This window comes from Homo sapiens, chromosome 4 (assembly GCF_000001405.40).
Source record: "Homo sapiens chromosome 4, GRCh38.p14 Primary Assembly".
NCBI lineage: Eukaryota > Metazoa > Chordata > Mammalia > Primates > Hominidae > Homo > Homo sapiens.
In genome coordinates this window covers 89,584,467-89,604,227 of record NC_000004.12, presented here as the reverse complement: position 1 = coordinate 89,604,227, position 19,761 = coordinate 89,584,467, and the positions used below count along the sequence as shown (strand labels likewise).

At 36.0% G+C, this 19,761-nt stretch overlaps 1 long non-coding RNA gene across 5 annotated transcripts in view; it reads right to left on the bottom strand.

Annotated features, from left to right (window-relative positions):
* LOC105377329 (uncharacterized) overlaps positions 1-19,761 on the bottom strand; it is a 94,057-nt gene that overhangs the window by 41,219 nt on the left and 33,077 nt on the right. For 3 of the 5 annotated variants that reach the window (XR_007058469.1, XR_007058468.1, XR_007058467.1), the window contains exon 2: positions 16,288-16,407. This is a non-coding gene — a long non-coding RNA (uncharacterized LOC105377329). Of the gene's footprint in view, positions 1-9,286; positions 9,428-14,557; positions 14,722-16,287; positions 16,408-19,761 lie in introns of those variants that run through there. The other 2 variants (XR_007058471.1, XR_007058470.1) reach the window with 2 other exon arrangements.

Below are 19,761 nucleotides of genomic sequence, written 5' to 3'. Positions count from 1 at the left end.
TATTTAAAGTCTTCATTTTCTGGCCGGGCGCAGTGGCTCACACCTGTAATCCCAGCAGTTTGGGAAGCCGAGGTGGGCGGATCACCTGAGGTCAGGAGATCGAGACCATCCTGGTTAACACGGTGAAACCCTGTCTCAACTAAAAGTATAAAAAATTAGCCGGGCGTGGTGGCAGGCACCTGTAGTCCCAGCTACTCGGGAGGCTGAGACAGGAGAATGGCATGAACCCGGGAGGCAGAGCTTGCAGTGAGCCGAGATCGCGCCACTGCACTCCAGCCTGGGCGACAGAGCAAGACTCCGTCTCAAAAAAAAAAAAAAAAAAAAAAAAATCTTCATTTTCTAGCTCCAACATATGAGCTCCCCCAGGGATATATGCTGTTGGCTGTTTTCTTTTTCCCTGTGTGTGGCATACTTTCCTATTTCTTCATGTCTTGTAAATTTTGTTGAAAACTGGACATTTCAGTTAGAACATTGCAATAACTCTAGTATCTGATCCCTCTCTGATAATAGCTGGTTTTCCTTGCTCATTTTGTTGTTGTTAATATTGTTGCTCTTGCTGTTGCTGCTTATTTGTTTGATGACTTTCCTGGACTAATTCTGTAGATTTTGTATTTCCTGAAGCGTATGGCCATAGCCACTGAGTTCTCTGCTTAGCATTTATTTCCCTTAAATTCTTGTTTTTATTTTGAAACCTATGGAGCACTCTTGTGTCAAAATAACTTGGGCAGGCATCCAATGATCAACCAGAACATTTTTTTAATGTCTTGCTTATTCCACCCTTGCCGAGGAGATCTGTGTGTGAAGGCATGCTTTCAAACTTTAGTCAAAGCATGTAGTATAAGGGTTTTTTTGTTTGTTTTTTAATATTCTACTCAACTTATTTTTATTATTGCTTTTTAAAAATCTCTTTGCTTAAAATTCTGTCATGTTGAGTATAAAATCAATACCTTTAAGACACATTTGAATTATCAAAGCTTAAGGAATCCCGAGTGCTCTCATCTGTGGTGTGTGAAAGGTATTTTGTTACTTTTGGAGAAGCCAGGCAGCCAAACTGCTTTTGAAAAATTCACCTTTGAATTAATTAAAAATACACAAATATATTAATCTATAATAGTTGCAAGTCAAACATGTGAACTGATAAGAATAATTCAGTCTAGTACTTGACTTAAAAACATTTAGTTCCTTTGCAAATAGCCATCTAAAAGGTAACAAAATAATCTACTAGTCTTGGAGTTGAGAAGTCAGATGGTCATGGTAAATTTCACTGTCAGAAGCCATACTGCAAAGCATTGGCTTTGCAGCAGACTTAGAGATGCTTGGGGAGTGGAGCATTCAAAAGATACCTCTAGCACAAATGTCCACTGTCTGCATGTGAATGTGTACATTCTCTCCCTAGTTTCTGCCTTATGGACTTTCATGTTAACCATGTCTCTGGAATGGTTAGTGTATCTCCCTTTGCACTTTCCCTCTCAGGATTTGCATATTTTGTGTTGGTATGCTGGGACCAATGACCTTTACCTTCAACACATAAAATTGCTTCCTTCTATCTCTTAAACTCTCTGACCCAAACACGTATTATTATTTTTAAAATTGTGTATACCCTATAGAACAGATGTTATTTGAGTTCAGCTTTCTACCAGGGAATGAATTCCCTCAAAGTTACTCATCTATGCTCCCTGGATCCCAGTAGAGTAGCACTGGAATTGTCTTCCTGATTGCCTTAGCATTAAATGATATCATAACTGTTTATGGGATGCTTGTTATTACACAGAGTATATTTAACAATTTTATCTTCCTTCACATATTACATGTATTTCTCATGATACAAAAGGATATTAAATTATGTTTATTTAAATACTAATACTCAGATATATAATAAAAATAGACCAGAATATGAACAGGCAGCTACTAGTAGTTAAGAGAATGCAGATTAAAATAATAACAGCTTACCCATAAGACTGCTAGAAATGAAACAATAGTAATACCTACTGCCAACAGGGATGTAGGAAAAAGGGTAGAAATGTGAATTGTATGCTTTTTGGAAAGACACCTGCTAGTGTCTATTAAAAATTTAAAAGGCACATGTCTTCAAACCCAGTAATCCTACTCTGGGGAAATCATTACATAGAAATAAAAGCATTAGTAAGTTATGTATGTAAGAATGATTATTCCAGATTTTATCATGATGAAAGACTGAAACAAAGAGAATAATATTCAGTAGGGAAATGGTTGAGTAGATTGCAGAACATTCCTACCATGGGGTATTGTACAACCATAAAAGAGAATGCACTAGAGCCCCATAACGTCAATTAGAAGAATTTCAACAAAAATATCAAGTTGCAGAAACACGTATACAGTCATTGCTCAGTTTCCGCAGGAAACTGGTTTCAGGACCCCCTGCAAAATCCACAGATGCTCAAGTCCCTTATATAAAATGGCATATCATTTGTACATAACCTATGCACATCCTCCCATATACTTTAAATCATTTCTAGATTACTTATAATACCTACTACAACGTAAAAGCTATGTAAATAGTTGTGGTATTGTATTTTTATTGTTGTATTGTTATTTTTTTAAAAATATATATCTGTGGTTGGTTGAATTCTCAGATGTGCAACCCATGGATATAAAGGGCTGGCTGTATTATGTAATTTCAGTTTTTTAAAATGAACAGCGAAATAAAACCTCATATATATATGATTTTGTGAGCATGGAGATATACATGGAAAGATATGCATGAGTTTTATGGTATAGATAACCTAGAGACGGGAAAAAGGAAAAGAAGAAAAGAGAACAGGAAGAACAAAGTTTAGGGAAAAAAAACTTGAAAAATTAAAGTTTTGCAAAAGTAGTATATTTCATATGACATAAATTATATAATATTATGTATGCATGGGCACATGTGTTTGCGTAAAGACATGCACTAACAGAAATAATCAGCAAATGGTGAATATGGTTTTCTCTAACGGTAGGATGATTTCAGGCAATTCTCCATATTGTTTTTGCACTATTTGAGCTTTTTAAATGACTATGTATAATTTATGTAAAATATACATATAATGTAAAATAATTTTCTTGTGAAACAGAAATGTCAGTTATTATGAGAATCATTTTTCCATATCTACTATATACATATTTAATGCTCCCACACCATTTTTTAAAAATGGATGAATCTAAACCTATTTACCGGCAATCTATGCATTGTGTTCTGGCTTACTCACTCTCCACACTCTGATTATCTGGACTACAGTACTTATTAATTTACTTGTCTTCTCTGTTTGTTTTTGAACCCATTGTTCTAGTTACAGATCTGTCAGATTGAATCTCCAACTTCTTAACTCTGGCTTCATTGTCTACAATGTGGCTTGCATAGTACGACTTCTGCTGTACTATATTCATATCTACCCTAGCTATAATATCACACATAGTTTTATAATAATATATAGTCCCCCAAAATTTCCTCCAAAAATCTCTTTATTAGCCTCTTAAAACTGATCTTTGTTCCTTTCAACATCAGCTCCCCTCATCTCCAAACCTCTGTAGTCCAGAAAGAAAAAAGATGACTGCCAATACCCCATTGTAACGTATCCCTTTGAATGTTGTCTAAATTGTCTTGAGCTTTATTCTCTGTCTCTCTCTTTCTCTCTTCCTCCCTGTATCTCTTTCTTATCTTTCCTCTTTCTGTCTTTTCTCCAGCTACTGTGGCTTCTTATGACGGCCTACACCATCCAAGAAGTATTTTTGTGATGTTGGACCTAGATACGGGATCATATTGTATTACATTTGATCTTCTTGATTTATTGATTAATGGGAGATTTTCTTCTTCATTTATTTTAATACATCCCCTTTTTTTTTTTTTTTTTTGAGATGGAGTCCCACTCTGTCACCCAAGCTGGAGTGCAGTGGCATAATACCGGCTCACTGCAACATCTGCCTCCCAGGTTCAAGCAATTCTTGTGCCTCAGCCTCCTGAGTTGCTGGGACTACAGACACCTGCCACCATGCCCAGCTAATTTTTGTATTTTTAGTAGAGATGGGGTTTCACCATGTTGGCCAAACTGGTCTTGAACTCTTGACTGCAGGTGATCCACCTGCCTCGGCCTCCCAAAGTGCTGGGATTACAGGTGTGAGCCACCACGCCTGGAAGATCACCTTAACTAGATAGTAATTTCCTTAAAATGTCCAAGTCTTTTGTTTTTCTACAGTCATCTGAGTATTATACATTCTAACTAGCAATCCTTTAATATTCTTTACCTATTAACTAAACGGTAGGTGTATTTGACCAATGGTATATGTGAAATATATCTTTGGTGCTATTCTGCACTGAATCTTTAATCCCAGTATATCTATAATTTTAATGCCCTTATATCAATATAATCCAAATGTAGAAATGACCCCTGAAATTATTAGTATTTAGATATAATAACAAATACAATGTTATGCTTTACTTTTCTCTTTTTGTAATGTAAAGTAACACATTTCAAATATTAGCAGACTGGTGCACTAGAAGCAAAGAGGAAAACTTGGCACAGAAGTTTCTCAGGTGGGAAGATCAGATCCTAGCAAATAATATTCTAAATATGTAAAGTATGAAGAAACAAAAAAGTTAAGGAAGTTCTAGATTGAATAAAAATAAATTTTTCATATTAGCCCCTAGGGCTGAAATATTAATAAAGAGAGGAAGTCATAATATAGTTTATGTCAAAGATAGCCCATGAGGTTGTAAGGGTATGGTAAATGTGTATAAGTGAGATTCCTTTTAAAAAGAGGGGATTTTATCTCTTGACGGTAAACTAAAATTGCCATTAGTCAAATGTGAAAACTTTTTCACATTTTTGTTGTTCTGTTGTTGAAAAGTACTGTGTTTTGTATTTTGTTGTTGAAAAGTTTTGCAGTACTTACTGCACATTACTTGCCCATGAAAAACCACTTCTTACTACATTAATCATCCTTTGCTCTTATGAAATACTTAGATGTACTTTTCATTTTAACTTACAGCAGTATCCAATTATTTCTATTTCTGGAAAAGCACATAGCATGAAAGACAGTTTTCAAAGCCAAGAACATGAAATAGATACAGTGCAGTTTAAACAGCCATTTTTTTCTCTTTTATATCTATAGAGAAAGAAATATATAAATATGGGAAGGAAAGAGACTGGGTATAAAGGGGAGAAAGCAAAAGCAATTATATACTATTCTGGGGAAACTATGCCATTAAAAAAAAAGTTTTAATAATTCCAAAAACTTCTTTTCAAGTTTGAACATCTCTCATGCCCTGCCTATACCTTTTCAGTTAATTCAAAATAAATTGTGCCTTTACCAACTTTTTTAAGGGTGATTACATGTAATTATTAAAATGTATGTGCTTGTGATATCTATCAGAAATAAAGAGGATGGAAACCAAGCAAAACTTACTGGAAATAGATAAGAATAACTGACAGAGGACACCTAGTGGAGTGAAAAGTAGTGACATATTCTTCTGCAGTACAAGGTTTGTTCCTCCCAGGTACACAAGAGGACTTAGAATAGATTGTCAGGTGGTCGCCATTCAACAGAGCAAGAGATGCCACAGAGAGAAAAGTCAATAAACAAAATATTATTTGATTTCTATATGTGAACTTGTCCCAAATCTTTTAAAAATGTATAGTCTGGCTGAAAGTTGTAGAATATCTCATTACACAATAGATGGTCCTATAACAAACAAACAAAAACTTGCCTCACACTAAAAAGTGTGAGATTTATGTCAATTTTTAAAATAACAGATGCACTCAGTAATTCCATAAAATAATCTTCTCATTGTTATACGTTATCACTGTGCATATGATGAACTAGGATACTGGGAATAGAAGAATGAATAAGACATAGCCAGGTCCTGTAAGGTAGAGGAAGCAGACATGTAAAAAAGTTGGTGATATGAAGTGTTCAAAGTCCTGTAACAGAAGTAAGGCTTACTTGTTGGGGAAGCGAAGTCAGGAAGTGCTTCCACAGAGAAGGCAAGTTTTGTTTGCTTGTCTGTCTTAGGACCATCTTCTGTGCCATCAGCCTTGTTGGATGCCTGTTCACTTCATAGAACTAGGAAGAAGAGATGTTGTATTGTTGCTCCTCATTCTGGCTGCATTAGCCTGGCTATCTAACCATAGAGACTTATAATTAAGTTTTTCCTAGGTCTTCTTAAAACTAGTTTAGTCAACTATCACTTTATTCCAAATGCATAGAAAGAATAGATAAAATATATTTTTTAAAGTTTATATATTTGGTTGGAAAAAGAAAGAGCACTACCCAGACAAATTAGGAATCTTGCCATATCTCTGCCACTAGCAAGTAATGTGTTTTGGTGATATCATTGAAATACCACCAGTCTCAATTTTAGTTTAGGTCAAATGAGGGTTTGGGATATGGTGCTATCTGAAGCCCCTTCTAATTGTAAGAATTAAATGGCATACACTCATGATGTCTAACCTATCTGCAGTGGTTGAAAATATGTCTACAAATTCCTTTTCCATCTTCCCTTCAAAAAGTAAAGCCTAATTCCCCTCCCCTTGTGTATGGACCAGGCTTCTAAAGCATCAAATGAAGTAGGAGTGACAGTGCCTGATTTCTCAAACCAGGTAATAAAAGGCACTGCAGCCTCTTCCTGGACATCATTCTTAGATCTCTATGCTGGGGAAACCAACTACCCTGTCATGAGAATACTCATGTAGCTCTATGGCAAGGCTCATATAGCAAGAAATTGAGGCCTCCAGCCAACAACCATGTAAGTGAGCCATGTTGGAGATCCTCCATCCTTAGTCAAGCCTTGATATGACTGCAGCTCCAGCCAGCATTTCAACTGCAGCCTCATTGGAGAACCTGAACTAGAACTACCCATTAAATTGCAGCAGAATTCTTGACCCACAGAAACTTTTAAATAAGTAAACGTTTTGTTTAAAGCCTCTAAATGTTATGGTAGCTTGTGATCCACTGGATAGATTGCAGAAACACCAGCCCTCAAATCATCTCATCCTTGGCTGATGACCCAACCCATAATTTCTGGCACTCAAATTCCAGTGAACAATAATATAGATGCAGAATTGTTTTCTCTTTAAAATTCTTTTTAAAGGAGGCAGAACATAAATTTTCTACTCCCATTTCTGCCACAAGTTAATCTTAACATTCACCCTCCCCCTCTGCCTTCCTATGCCTAACTGTATCATTGCAAAAAGCCCCAGTTGCCATTTGTAGCTTACACAGCTCTTTTCACTACCATATTCCATCTTTACAATTTAAGAAAGCAAATGTGGACAATCACCAAGCATCACTTCCTTGCAATTCCCTCAGCTTTTTCTGCAGCTTCAGTCAAAGTATACACTCCGCAACCCAGGATGAATTTTTATACTTCCGTAGATACTTCTATTCCCTAGAACTCTTGACCAACAGGTCTAACTCAAGAATCAAGGACATATGGCAAGAGACTCAAATTATTTTTATAGTCTCCCAAGGTAAATATGAACACTAAATGGATTAATGGCACTGGATTAAAAGGCAAAAATGATGCAGTAGAGTGCCACATCTGTAACCAATGATCTGATCCTATGATTGAGTCATAGCACTACTATTTACTTGCTGCCTGAATATAAACAATTTATTAAACTGCTCTGAGTTAAACTTTCCTCATCAGAAAAATGAGAGTATCAATATCTACTTTATAGAGTGGTTCTAAGAATTTAGGAAATATTAAACATAAAAAGTATTTTTAGTTGTTTTTTAGCTGTAAGGACTTTTTAGTTGTTTATTATGATTATATGAAGCATCTCATGAACACATATAAGTAACTTAAAAATTGATCAAATTCCCAGGTCTAAGAGACTTGCAACATTGACAACTCTATTTCTTCTTTCAATGCAATGGAAGTACAGCATGCATATGAAAGGCATCTAGAAAGCTAAATTTCAGAGTGCTACCACCCAGATACATAACCTTGAATAAGTTGCTTATCTCCTCAGGGCCAATGTTTTCTCATTGGATGCTGGTAATCATTAAATAACATTTAAATGGAGAAGGAAGAATTGTAAAAGTAGGGAAAATAATCAATATAATATTTTAAAGTGCTGTATTAAGATAAAACATATTTATTCAGCAATTATTTCATTTGGACTAGTGAGTGTGAAAATGTTCTTATTCATCTGCTTTGATAAATAGTCTGATGGTGTCTAAGGATTCATTTTCTTTGTAGTTTCATGCAGTTGAAATGAGTTTGCTAGTCACCTCTTGAAACCTATGAAGTTTTAAAATCAGTCATTCAGAATATGAAGATTCAGTCTAGTGAGGCTATTAAACTCTATGACTTTTAAATGTTAAAATCACCAAAGCACCTTTAATTTTACTGGTAATGAAATATACAACCTTTAATACTGGATATTCAGTATTCATATTAAATCATAATAAATATTCATGGTGAACCATAAGTCACCTGATATTGCAAATGGTCATTTATTTTGTCATTTATATACCACTGTTAGATCTGATAGGATAATGTTTATAATTTATTAAGCAATATGACACAAGAAAATGTCCAATTCCACACTATTTCCATATTAGTAGCAATGGATGTTGCCAGGGCATGGTGGAGTATAAATTATTTCTCAATTTCAGCATGATGTTACCGCAATAAAATGCCCCACGGCTAAGAAAGTCATTAGCATGAACCGTACAACAAGCTTGTCATACATAACACACACACACAGACACACACGCCACACAAAATTAGAATACTTAGTATTATAAACATAAAAGAAATAAAAAGAAGTAAACACAAAGCAGACAGTCCTCTGATTTACAGCAAACACAGGAGGGAAGGATGCAAGTTTAGCTCTTTTATAGCAAGTTAAATACATTTCCCTCGTCTACAAAGGAGCATAGTTCAAAGTCAGGTCAGCCAGGCCAACTTGTAACTTAAAGGAATTAGAAAACATAGATCTTTTTTAAAAAGCTACTGCTACCAGTGGGTGACTATGTGACTAATAAAAATGGAAGGCCTCATTAATTTTATTTAACTGTTAATCACCAGATGTTGTGAGCCATATGGAAAAAAATTTAATTTAATGTTTTCGGAGATATGAACGGTGTGTACGTGTTTGTGTGTGTGTCTAAGTACAGTAAAAATAGATATTTAGATCCTTGTAAAGGGATTTTGTTTTATCAGCTCTTTTATTTAAACGGTAGATAGAGAAGCACTACATTTGTGATAATATCACATTAGCACTACATAATATTTTTTAGCTTACAATATATATTCAAAGGCACCATTTTACCTGATTTTTACAAGAGTACTATTTTCACAATTTTATTACAGAAGAAACTGAAGTCCAGAGAGCTCAGAGTCACAAAGCTAGCAAGTGAAAAGACCACGGCTGGAACCCAGGAGAGCCTCACTTTTCACCAAAGTCTATGAGAAAAAGTGGAGGAGAGGCATATCATCGAACTCATTTCCCTGGTGCCTTAGAAAAATGTATTAGGTTACTTCTTACCACCCCATATTTCAATTATTCCTCCCCTTACAAAGGGTGCTAGTTCATAGTCTTGTCCTCCTATTGCGGCTACCTGGAGAAAGAAGATATGGCTTACTGATTCATTCAATGAATTTTTGTAGTACTTACCATATGCCTGGAAATGTGTTGAGTACTGCAGATATGTCAGTGAATAAAACAATATACCTGAATTCAGGTTACATTTGTTCATAGTCCACTAAATGATAGGGTGAAACACTTTTTGCATTACAACCCTGAGAGTTCAGAATTCCTCTACTAACCCTTTCCAAAGACGTAAGGAGGAGCAAAGACAAATACACCAAGAGGGCAGGGACGTTATGGAGATAACAGAATCTGTTATGTGTGGAGTTTAAAACTCAAAGTATACATATAGTTTCTTATTCACATTTTCTCACCTTCCTCTTTTATTTCTTCTTTCTCTTTTACTCTTCCCAAATATCAGCCAACACTTCTATTTTATCTCATCTAACCAAAGTGAGTATTGTGTATGTTCAGTCATCAGGGGTTTAGAAGACCAAGTCCCACCTAAAGAATGAAGCTTCTTCTTTGAGAAGCCTCTAGTAGTGATACCTGAAACTGCAAGAGATTTTGACAATTTCCTTGGTACAAGTCAAGGTCTGGTTTCCTAAGGCTTGGGATTACTTTCTAAGTTTGAACCTGGGTCATTTCAGAATGTCAAACTGCAAGGATAGCTACACATATGAGTGAAGTTCCACAGAGAGTATGAACTCATAGTGCTCAGAAAGCTCATCATATAATCTCAATTAAAAACTTCACCTGGCCAGGCTGTCTTGAAATTCAACCTCAGTCATTTTAGTGTAATGATCTGACTCTCCTGGTCTTATCTGTTAGCAAGACATTTGGGGAGGCCATTCCAATTGTAAATCATCTGTGCTTATTACCAGAGAAACTTCCCTTGTTTACTGTCTCCCAACTTCTGTGGGCCCAACTATATCAATAATAACATTAAGTGTGACTGCGTTAAATAATGCAAAGCAAAGTCTGAAATTATCAGGGTAGATAAAAAAGCAAGATCCAACTATATGCTGTCTATAAGAGAAATATTTTTGATTCAAAGATACAAATAGGTTGAAAATGAAAGGATGTCAAAAATTCAACCAACAACCAAATAAGGCTGGAAGGTTTATTCTAATATCTGACAAAATAGGTTTTTAAACAACAACAAAAAGAATTGATACTATAGATAAAGAGAGTCTTATTTTTTCTACACCCACAGCTGTGAGATGAGAGACATTTTATGATGCAAGGAGTTCAATACATCAGGAAGATAAAAGAATTATAAACATGCATACAACTAACAACAGAGCACCAAAATGCATGAAGCAAAACCAGAATTGAAAAAAGAAATGGGCATTTAAAGAATGGTAGTTGGACACTTCAATGCCCACTTTCAATAATGAATAGAACAACCAGGCAGAAGATCAATAAGAAAATAAAATATTTGGAAATACTGTAAACCAACTAGACCTAAAAGACATCTATAGAACACTCCACCCAACAACAGGAAAATATTGTTCGTCTCAAGTGCACATGGAATATTCTCCAGAATAGACTATATGTTAGGCCCCAAAACAAGCCCTAATAAATTTAAAATGATTGAAAATATACAAATATGTTCTCTGACAGCAATTGAATGACTTTAGAAATTAATAGTACAAAAAATTTTGAGAATTCACAGATATGTGGAAATTAATCAACACACTCCTAAATAACCAATAGGTAAAAGAAGAAACCCCAAGGAAAATCAGAAAATAATTTGAGATGAATACAAATTAATATACAATATGACAAAAGTTATGTGATGCAGTTTAAACAATGCTTAGAGAGAAATTTGTAGCTGTAAATGTCTATGTTCAAAAAGAAGAAAAATTTCAAGTCAATATACTAACATTCCACTTTAATAGACTGGAAAAAAAACAGTGAACTATACTTAGTGCAAGTAAAAGAAAAGAAAGAGTAGAGATTGGAGTGGAAATTAATTAAACATAAATTAGAAAAATAATAAAAAACAACAAACTGAAAGTTGTTTCTTTGAAAAGAGCAACAAAATTAACAAACTTTTAACTAGTTTGACTGAAAAAAGAAAAAAAAGATTCAAATTACCAAAATCAGGAATGAAAATTATACCTTACAGAAATTTAAAAGAAAAAAAAATTGTAAACAAAGATACTATGAACTATTGTAAGCCATCAGATTAGATAATCTAGATTAAATAGATAAATTCTGAGAAAAATACCAATTACCAAAAATATCTAAAGAAGAAATTTTTAAAAATTGATCAAACTATAGCAAGTAAAGAGATTGAATTAGTAATGAAAAAAATAAAACTTTGCACAAAGAGAAGCCCAGATCCAGATGGCTTCATTGTTGAATTCTACCAATTATATAAGAATTCTTCACAAACTCTTCCAAACAACAAAAGAGGAGGTAACACATCCCACCCATTCTATAATGCTAACATTTGCCTTATATCAATACAAAATGCATCACAAAAAATATAAATCGGTATCTTTTATGAATGTAGATGCAAAATCCTCAACAAAATACTAGCAAACTGACATGGTTTGTATCTGTGTCCCCACCCAAATCTCATGTCAAATTGTAATCCCCAGTGATGGAGGAGGAGCCTGATGGAAGGTGATTAGATAGTGGGGGTTGTTTCTCATGGTTTAACATCATCCCCCTAGGTGGTGGTGTGGTGAGAATGAGTTATCATGAGATCTGGTCATTTAAAAGTGTGTATCACCTCCCCCCCTCTCTTTCTTTCTCTTGCTCCTGCCATGTAAAATGTGCCTGCTTCCTCTTCACCTTTCACCATGATGGAAAGTTTCCTGAGGCCTCCCCAGAAGCCGCTATGCTTCCTGTACAGTCTGCAGAACTGTGAGACAATTAAACCTCTTTTCTTTATAAATTACCCAGTCTCAGGTATTTCTTTATAGCAATGTGAGAATGGACTACCACACAAACTAAATTCAGAAACATATGGAAAAGATTATAAATCGTGAACAAGTGATATTTATCTCAGGTGTGAAACGTTTTTTTAATATCCAAAAATCAATTAGTGTAATATACCATTTCAGTAGAATAAAGGACAAAAACCACGTTTATCTCAATTGATGCAGAAAAAGCATCTGACAAAATTCAACATCCCTTTATAATGAAAACACTCAATAATTTAGGATAAAAAGAAACTTCCTCACCTTGAGAGAGTCCCTTTCCAACTCCTGGGGTCACCCAGGGCCAGAAGTACCTTTGGGATAAGGTGTCCTGATTCAGACCAGGACCCTTGTTACTGGTCCCCTTTTTCCCTTTCAGGGTATTGTCCAACTCTCCCACCACCACAACCACCACTGCCACTGTGATGCATGAGGTCCACTATGGAGTTATCTGGCAGTCTCTTGGCCCAGTTTTAGAAGAGTGACCTGGTGAAACGATTACTCACACTGACCAGCATGAGAATTTGTTCATAGTACTGGGCTGCCAGTTTGGTGCTAATGTGCCCATATTGAGTGATTCTCACTAACAGCACACAAAGGACAACTTCAGGGCTCTAAGCTACCGAAAGTCCACCATGCTCTTCAGGCTTGAGCCACATATGTGGGTCCATAGATTGTTTCTCACCCTTCCATATTTCAGCTGCTGATGACTATAGGTTCACTTCCTAGTTTATAGCTCCCAAGAACCATGGTTGTAGCAGTAGATGTCCTTTACTCTGTGAACCCCCTTATCGCTGGCACCCAGAGCAGTCACCCCATCCTCTCTGAAGGCTTCATGCCATGCATCAGGCAGTCCTCCAGATGTGGCCACATCTATGTCCTCCCTTCTGATTTATGTTCTGTCTTTCTCATAATCAGTGTGGTGCCATTGTACTCTCCTCAGTCAGCCTTAAGCCATACCAACAATAATATAAACACTTCTTATATGAATAGGATAATTCTTCTTTTTCAACCCACAGAGCCTTTGCCTATTTTCCCCACTGGTAGGTTGTGTGAAGAGGGGAAGCTTGCAACCAACATTTAGAGAGATCACATTCTGGGGATGTTGTGATTACTACCTAAAGAGTTCTAAAGGAGACATGCCCTTGCATTGATCCTATCAAATTCTGAACAGTGAATGTAACATGAGCAGGAAACAAATTACTCTTCACACTTTCCTGAACACCCTAGCTAAAACTTGTATGTGTAGTTGTCATCAATAAAGCACAGTAGCAATGTCTGAGACTGTTGCTGGAAGCCAGTATTCACCGGCAGCACTGTGAGGGGATGAGACTACAATGGATTTCTCAGGATTCCTGTAAGGAAACCTGCCTTGCTGGGGTTTCTCACAGACCATGAGAATTAGAGCTGTCACCATTTGTCCAGTTAACTGCTCAGATACAGCCCAGACTAGGTTCCTAAGTTAAACCCCAGAGTGTCAGGATGACTGCCTGCCGTCTCTCTAGTATTTACATTTGAAGGAGGAATGAGGCACTAGGAACTTGGAGACTTTTATAGACTGCAAAAGCAGAGGCACTGGGGATTATCTGACATGACACCTGGAGAGATTTTATTTACATGTCAAACATTGGAGTTAGGTTTTGGGCCTATGACTTTTCCAAGGAGGGGGACAAATCCCTGCTTTCTTGGAGCAGAGAAAAATTACTTTTCCCTAATCTATCACCTATGGAGTGTCTCAATCTTTGTGTAAGATATTTGATCAGGCCCTGATTGTGTCACCTCAGGGATAAGCACTGGGGCAAGGGACTGGAAAATGCCAGTCCCAGTTGAACAGCTTCTGGGGATAGTTTCCTAGGTAAAAACAAGTTAATTTTTTTCATAAAAATTAAACTTTTCAGAATATTGCCAATAAAGGCAATCATATTCCAACAAACTGGTTTTGAGACAACATTTCCTGGATTTCTATGAAATGGTAGAACTAACAGAGAAAATGTAAATGGATATAGAATTGAAGAGTGATATGCAGCAAATAACTTTCCTAAAACAAAATCTTCAAACAGCTCAAAAAGATGGAATGAAGCATGAGCATTTTAATTTATTCTGACAATATAGTAGTTCTTCAAGTTCTACAGAGCTTCATAGTTTTCATACTCATTACTGCATCAAGAAAAATCACTTAAAGACTGAACTTCAGTTTGTCATCTGTAAAATGGGCATAATCACATCTACCAGAGCTGTAAGGGGGATACAAAAGAATGTGGGTAAAGTATTTGACATACCCCCTAGTGTAAAGTGCTCAATAAATTCTAAGCAAACTAAAATGTCAGAGTTAAATGACTGCCTTAACACAAATTGCTAATGATAAAAGTTTATTCACAGTTTGTTAGAGACAAAGTCAGAATCAGAATTGCTGATTGTTTTCTTTTATGTCATGAGTATAAGTATTGGATTCTAGAGCTCCTACCAGCTCAGACCTGTTTGTACTTATTTATGAGAGCCAACTGTGAACAACACTTCCTAACCCTCCATTTGATAACATCATGTTTGTAACTTGAAATCGACCATGAGAAGATTATCTACACCACAGAAATTAGCAAATGCTACTAATCAAGGATTATGTTTATAGGGGATCCAGTTATTAAATATGCACCAGCATACCACTAATCTAGCTTATAGAACTGGACCCAATGGCACAGGTAGTATTCGGTTCAATATCATGAATGTGATGCAGACATCCGCTCTCTGAGAAACCACTAAGGATTTCAAGTCACAGGTCCCACTACAGTTAATATAGTTTCCAATGTGTACTTAATTACCTAGAGGCAGCGTCCAAACTGGGTGATTCTCACTCCATAAGTCACTAGAGGTCTTTTTTTAAGTCTTATAGTATTTGTTTTCTGAGCATTGCCTTTCCCTATATTTCTTGAAGGCAGAATAAAAGGCCTTCAGAAAAATCAGAGCATTGATTTTTATTTCCATCTCTTTTATGTTGGCAGTTCAGTGAAGCTTCCTCCCTAGGCAGAATTAATCACTCTGGCCTCTGTGTTCCCTAGCATTTTGCTCACTGTTAATATTGCCCTTATCACATTTTGTTACTGTCTGATTTTTTCCTGCCTCTTTTCTTGGCAGGATCATGGGCTGCTCAAAGGCCTCCCATTCACCTTCTCATCACTAGCACCCAAAATGCACCTGGCTCGCTGTAGGCATTCAGTAACTGTTGAACTGACTTGATCTGGTTCAGAAGAAAATAGATACAGCCAGCTTCTTTTGATAGATATTTCTCAATTAAAAGAGGGCTGCATTTTGGAAAACTAACTAAGTTATTTTTCTAGGTCACAAAAATATTTAAGCAGTTCCTTCTATAATGAAATGCAAATCACATTCTAAATGCAATGGAGAAGGAAAAGACACAGCAGTGGGATTTCTGTCAAGGAAGGCACAGAGTGTACGTGAATTCTTTATATGTTACCAGGAGCTCTAGGTGCTCTGATACCACAATGAAATAGCCTGAAGGTGTAATATACAATTAGTACATGATGTTACCTAAATGTATATTCTAACTCGACAGTTATTTACTTCACTAAACATTCAATCCCCTTTTAGAACAAATATTTTCTAAGGTCTCCCTTCATTATCCTAGAATTCATAGAGTATAGCCTTCTTAAAGTCATTATTTCAATAAATCAATGTCATATCCTAATTGTAATCTAAATAAAAATATTAAATTAGGCAATTCATAGTAAAATAATATCTATTTTGATATGAACACTAGAAGACATATTAAGTGGTCAGATGCTTACCTCAAAGCATCACTATGGATCGGTCAGCCACAGTGTACACTGATACGGGTGGCTTGTACTGGTGATTGGGATAAAAAGGTGTTGGATCTGGCGATGTGATTTTCAGAATGAACAAAAAATCTGCAAGAATTTAGAAAAAGACAAAGTGCGTGTTACTTTAGATTTACATGGCAGTCAAATTCCTGGAAAAGTTATCATATATTAAAATTGCATAACTACTTTCCATATAAAATTGAGTTCGGTTCTAAAGTTGGGTAATTATAAAACCCTTACAGACTATAAACATGAATGTCTGGGAAGACTTCAAAAGTCATGTTCAACGTGGGTTAAGCTTATTGTGTGGGATTTTCCTGCATATTGAAGATGTCTTTCATACCTGGCACCCACCCACTATGTGCTGGGAATCTACCCACCCCTACTGTTTCACTATGACAACCAAAATTGCCTCTATTTCCCAAACAGCTCCCAGTGTCTTAGAACCACTGACCTAAACAGAATGTAACCTTTTGGTAAAATGAAGATATTCTTACCAACCTTACCTAAATCCCAAGGCTGATGTGAAAATCAAATGAGAAAAATGTTTCTGAAAGCCCGTTATAAACCACAACACATCAAAGAAATAATAAATATTATTCTGTCTGCCAAGACTTAACGTTGGAGCAAATTTGGAAATTTCTAGCACTTCCATAACTCTGAGACCTTGTCACTGTGACAGTATTACCTCTAGAAGACTGTCTCTCCATGCCAAGTAAAAGACTGTCTCTCCATGCTAGAGTGTGCTGAATTAACTTTTTTCCTATTATCTGTTCTTGCTTTGGTATTTAAGAAGCAAATCTAAACTATATCATACTAACTAGTTGGTACTGCCATCTAGTGACTTACATAAACCAATCGGCCAGTTCTGTCAAATTTAGCTATTCAGCCATTTAAACAAATTGAGTGCATAAATATTCTATTTTCTGAAACTCACATTTTTCTCTCATTTACGTGAAGGTTTTTTTCTGGGAGAAAGCTGCTATTAAAATGTCTTTTAAAAATAGCATGCCACTAGCACTTTGCTGAATGGCTGCTTCACAGCATGATAATATTCACTATGAATTTTGCAATGTGTTTTAACTAATGCTCGCAGGTACCTAAACCTTGATATCCACATTAGTAGCATTTATTTTTCTGTATAAGGAAAGTAAGGGATGCTTTGGTGTCATGACATACAGATTTATTCTGGATTTTTTTCAGATTTGGCCAGTATGTCTTTGCTCAAGCATCCAAACATCTGACCTCAGTGACAGTGTTCAAGCAGTTGGAATCTGAGCAAACTGCCATCCATCTTATCTGATTTCTCAAACAAGTCCACCTCTTGCCCAAGGAGCATCACCAGTAGAAGCTGAAGAGGGATTTGTGCTGTGTGCTGTGAAGTGTCATCTGAGGTCAATGTGTTGTCATTGATGGCTTGTGCAGGAATGTCAAGATTCAGCATGTGACTTGAGCCCTGCAGCCTACACGCTCTATAAGGCTCGTGGCTCAAGAGATGATTCCTCAGAGGGCTGATAATGAAAAAAGCAAACCTCCATTTGCGTAAAAAAACACATAAATCTGCACTCTACTTTTAATTACACTTTCTCTTACTTTTTTTGCCCAATGATAGTTTAAAAATTTATAGCATAATTTTTTGCCTTTACCACCAATTTTTCTAAATGCAATATTGTATCATTTTCTGTATTTTAAAGGGATAAAGCAAAAATACAAAAACAAAAAAAAACATATATTCCCCAAATGATTAAGGTCCTATGCTGGGTTTTTTTTTTTTTTTAACTCTGATTCATTGAAGAGAGTCAAGTCCTTCTCACCTGTATTATTTTAGCACCCTGTGTTACTTTCTGGAAGTATTTATCACAACAGTAATGGATTTGGGTTAAAAATCTGCAACCCTGCTAGAACAAAGACAACATAAGACCAGGGAAAGACAGCATCTATCTAGACCAGCTTGACCTCCCCAGAGCATAGCACAGGTTCTTCTTACACAAGTTGGCACTAAAAAGAATATTCATTAAATGAAAAGTAAGTGAACAAATGCCTTAAGATTTGACTTTAAATTATTTCTTCTGACAATCATCTCTACTTATTGTAAACCACACACAAAAAGTCAATTGCTACCACTTTTCCTTGATCTTAGCTCTATTAACCCAGCTTTTATGCTAATGGGCTATTAAACTTGTCTTAGTTGCTTGATATCTTTGTTGCTCAATTTCCTCATTGATGAAAATCTGAATATTACAGTGAAAGTGATAATTTGTGTCTCCTTCTTCTACTAATTATGCTTTATTTCTGTTTTATAGCTTATCATCATGTCCAGAACTCAACGAACAATGTCAAGTAACAATGATGATAGAAGAATCAGACTCTTGGTTTTTAAAGACCTATGGGAAACGTCATTTGAATACACCAAGCCCAGTACCCATTTGCTTCCAAAGAAGTGTTGTCAGAGTTACTTTTTGAAGAGTATCCTCCTAAAGGTTCTAAGATATTTCAAACTTAGAGTCTAAGATCAAAATGAAGAAAATGGGACAAACAGCACAGTTTCTTTTAAATAAGCTGCTACTTTAATACTTTAAATCTAGATCCTGAATTATAACACAGTAGTAAAATCATTTGAGTACTGGCAATTAGTTGAAAAATAGCCTTCTGAGGTAATAATTTGCAGGAAAGCCCAAAGATTTAATGTTTTAAGTATTCTTTTTTTTATTTGATCAGTGTAATTTTCTTGTTCAATTTAATGATGATGTTAACATTAGACTGTCCAAAACCTTTGATTTACTGCTAATTGTCAACTTCTGAGCCATGCTGAGCAGACTCTCACACCTTCATCCATGGACATAATTATGTGAACCCTCTCTTTAGTAGTCAAGGCCATAGATTTAAAATATAGGCAAAATAGTAGCTCTGAGGAATCCTTTTTACAAAAACCAGGGTTTATGTTTATGATTTTTAAAAATCTACCTAAAAATGTATAGATAGCTTCTTTGCCCTTTTAGAACCACCCTTAACGGTTTTTCCTCTGTGTGACTTCTGGCATTTTCCAAATGTTCTACAAAGTGCCCACAACCATTAAATGATTTTCCCTTTGTCAATTCGGATCCATTTTCCACCCTCTTCTGTACCACAATATGCTCCAGGAGGATCTTCTCTATGGGCTTCCTTCCTTACACTCTGGTTGCAGATGAGTTTGGTCAGTTGGAGGCACCCAGAGCAAATCAAAAGTATAAGGAAAAAGAATAGATTTATTCACTCACTCCTCACTGGACCATGGTATTTGCCAGTGTCTGCAGTTTTCTTCTGCTCACCCTCACTGCTGCTGGGTGCCTTTGCAGAGCCACTCGATGGACAACACTCTGGTACTGGAATAATCTAAAACAATGCTCAGTTTTTTCAGATGACAAAACACTGGTGATTCAGTTGTTAGAATCTTCCACCTAA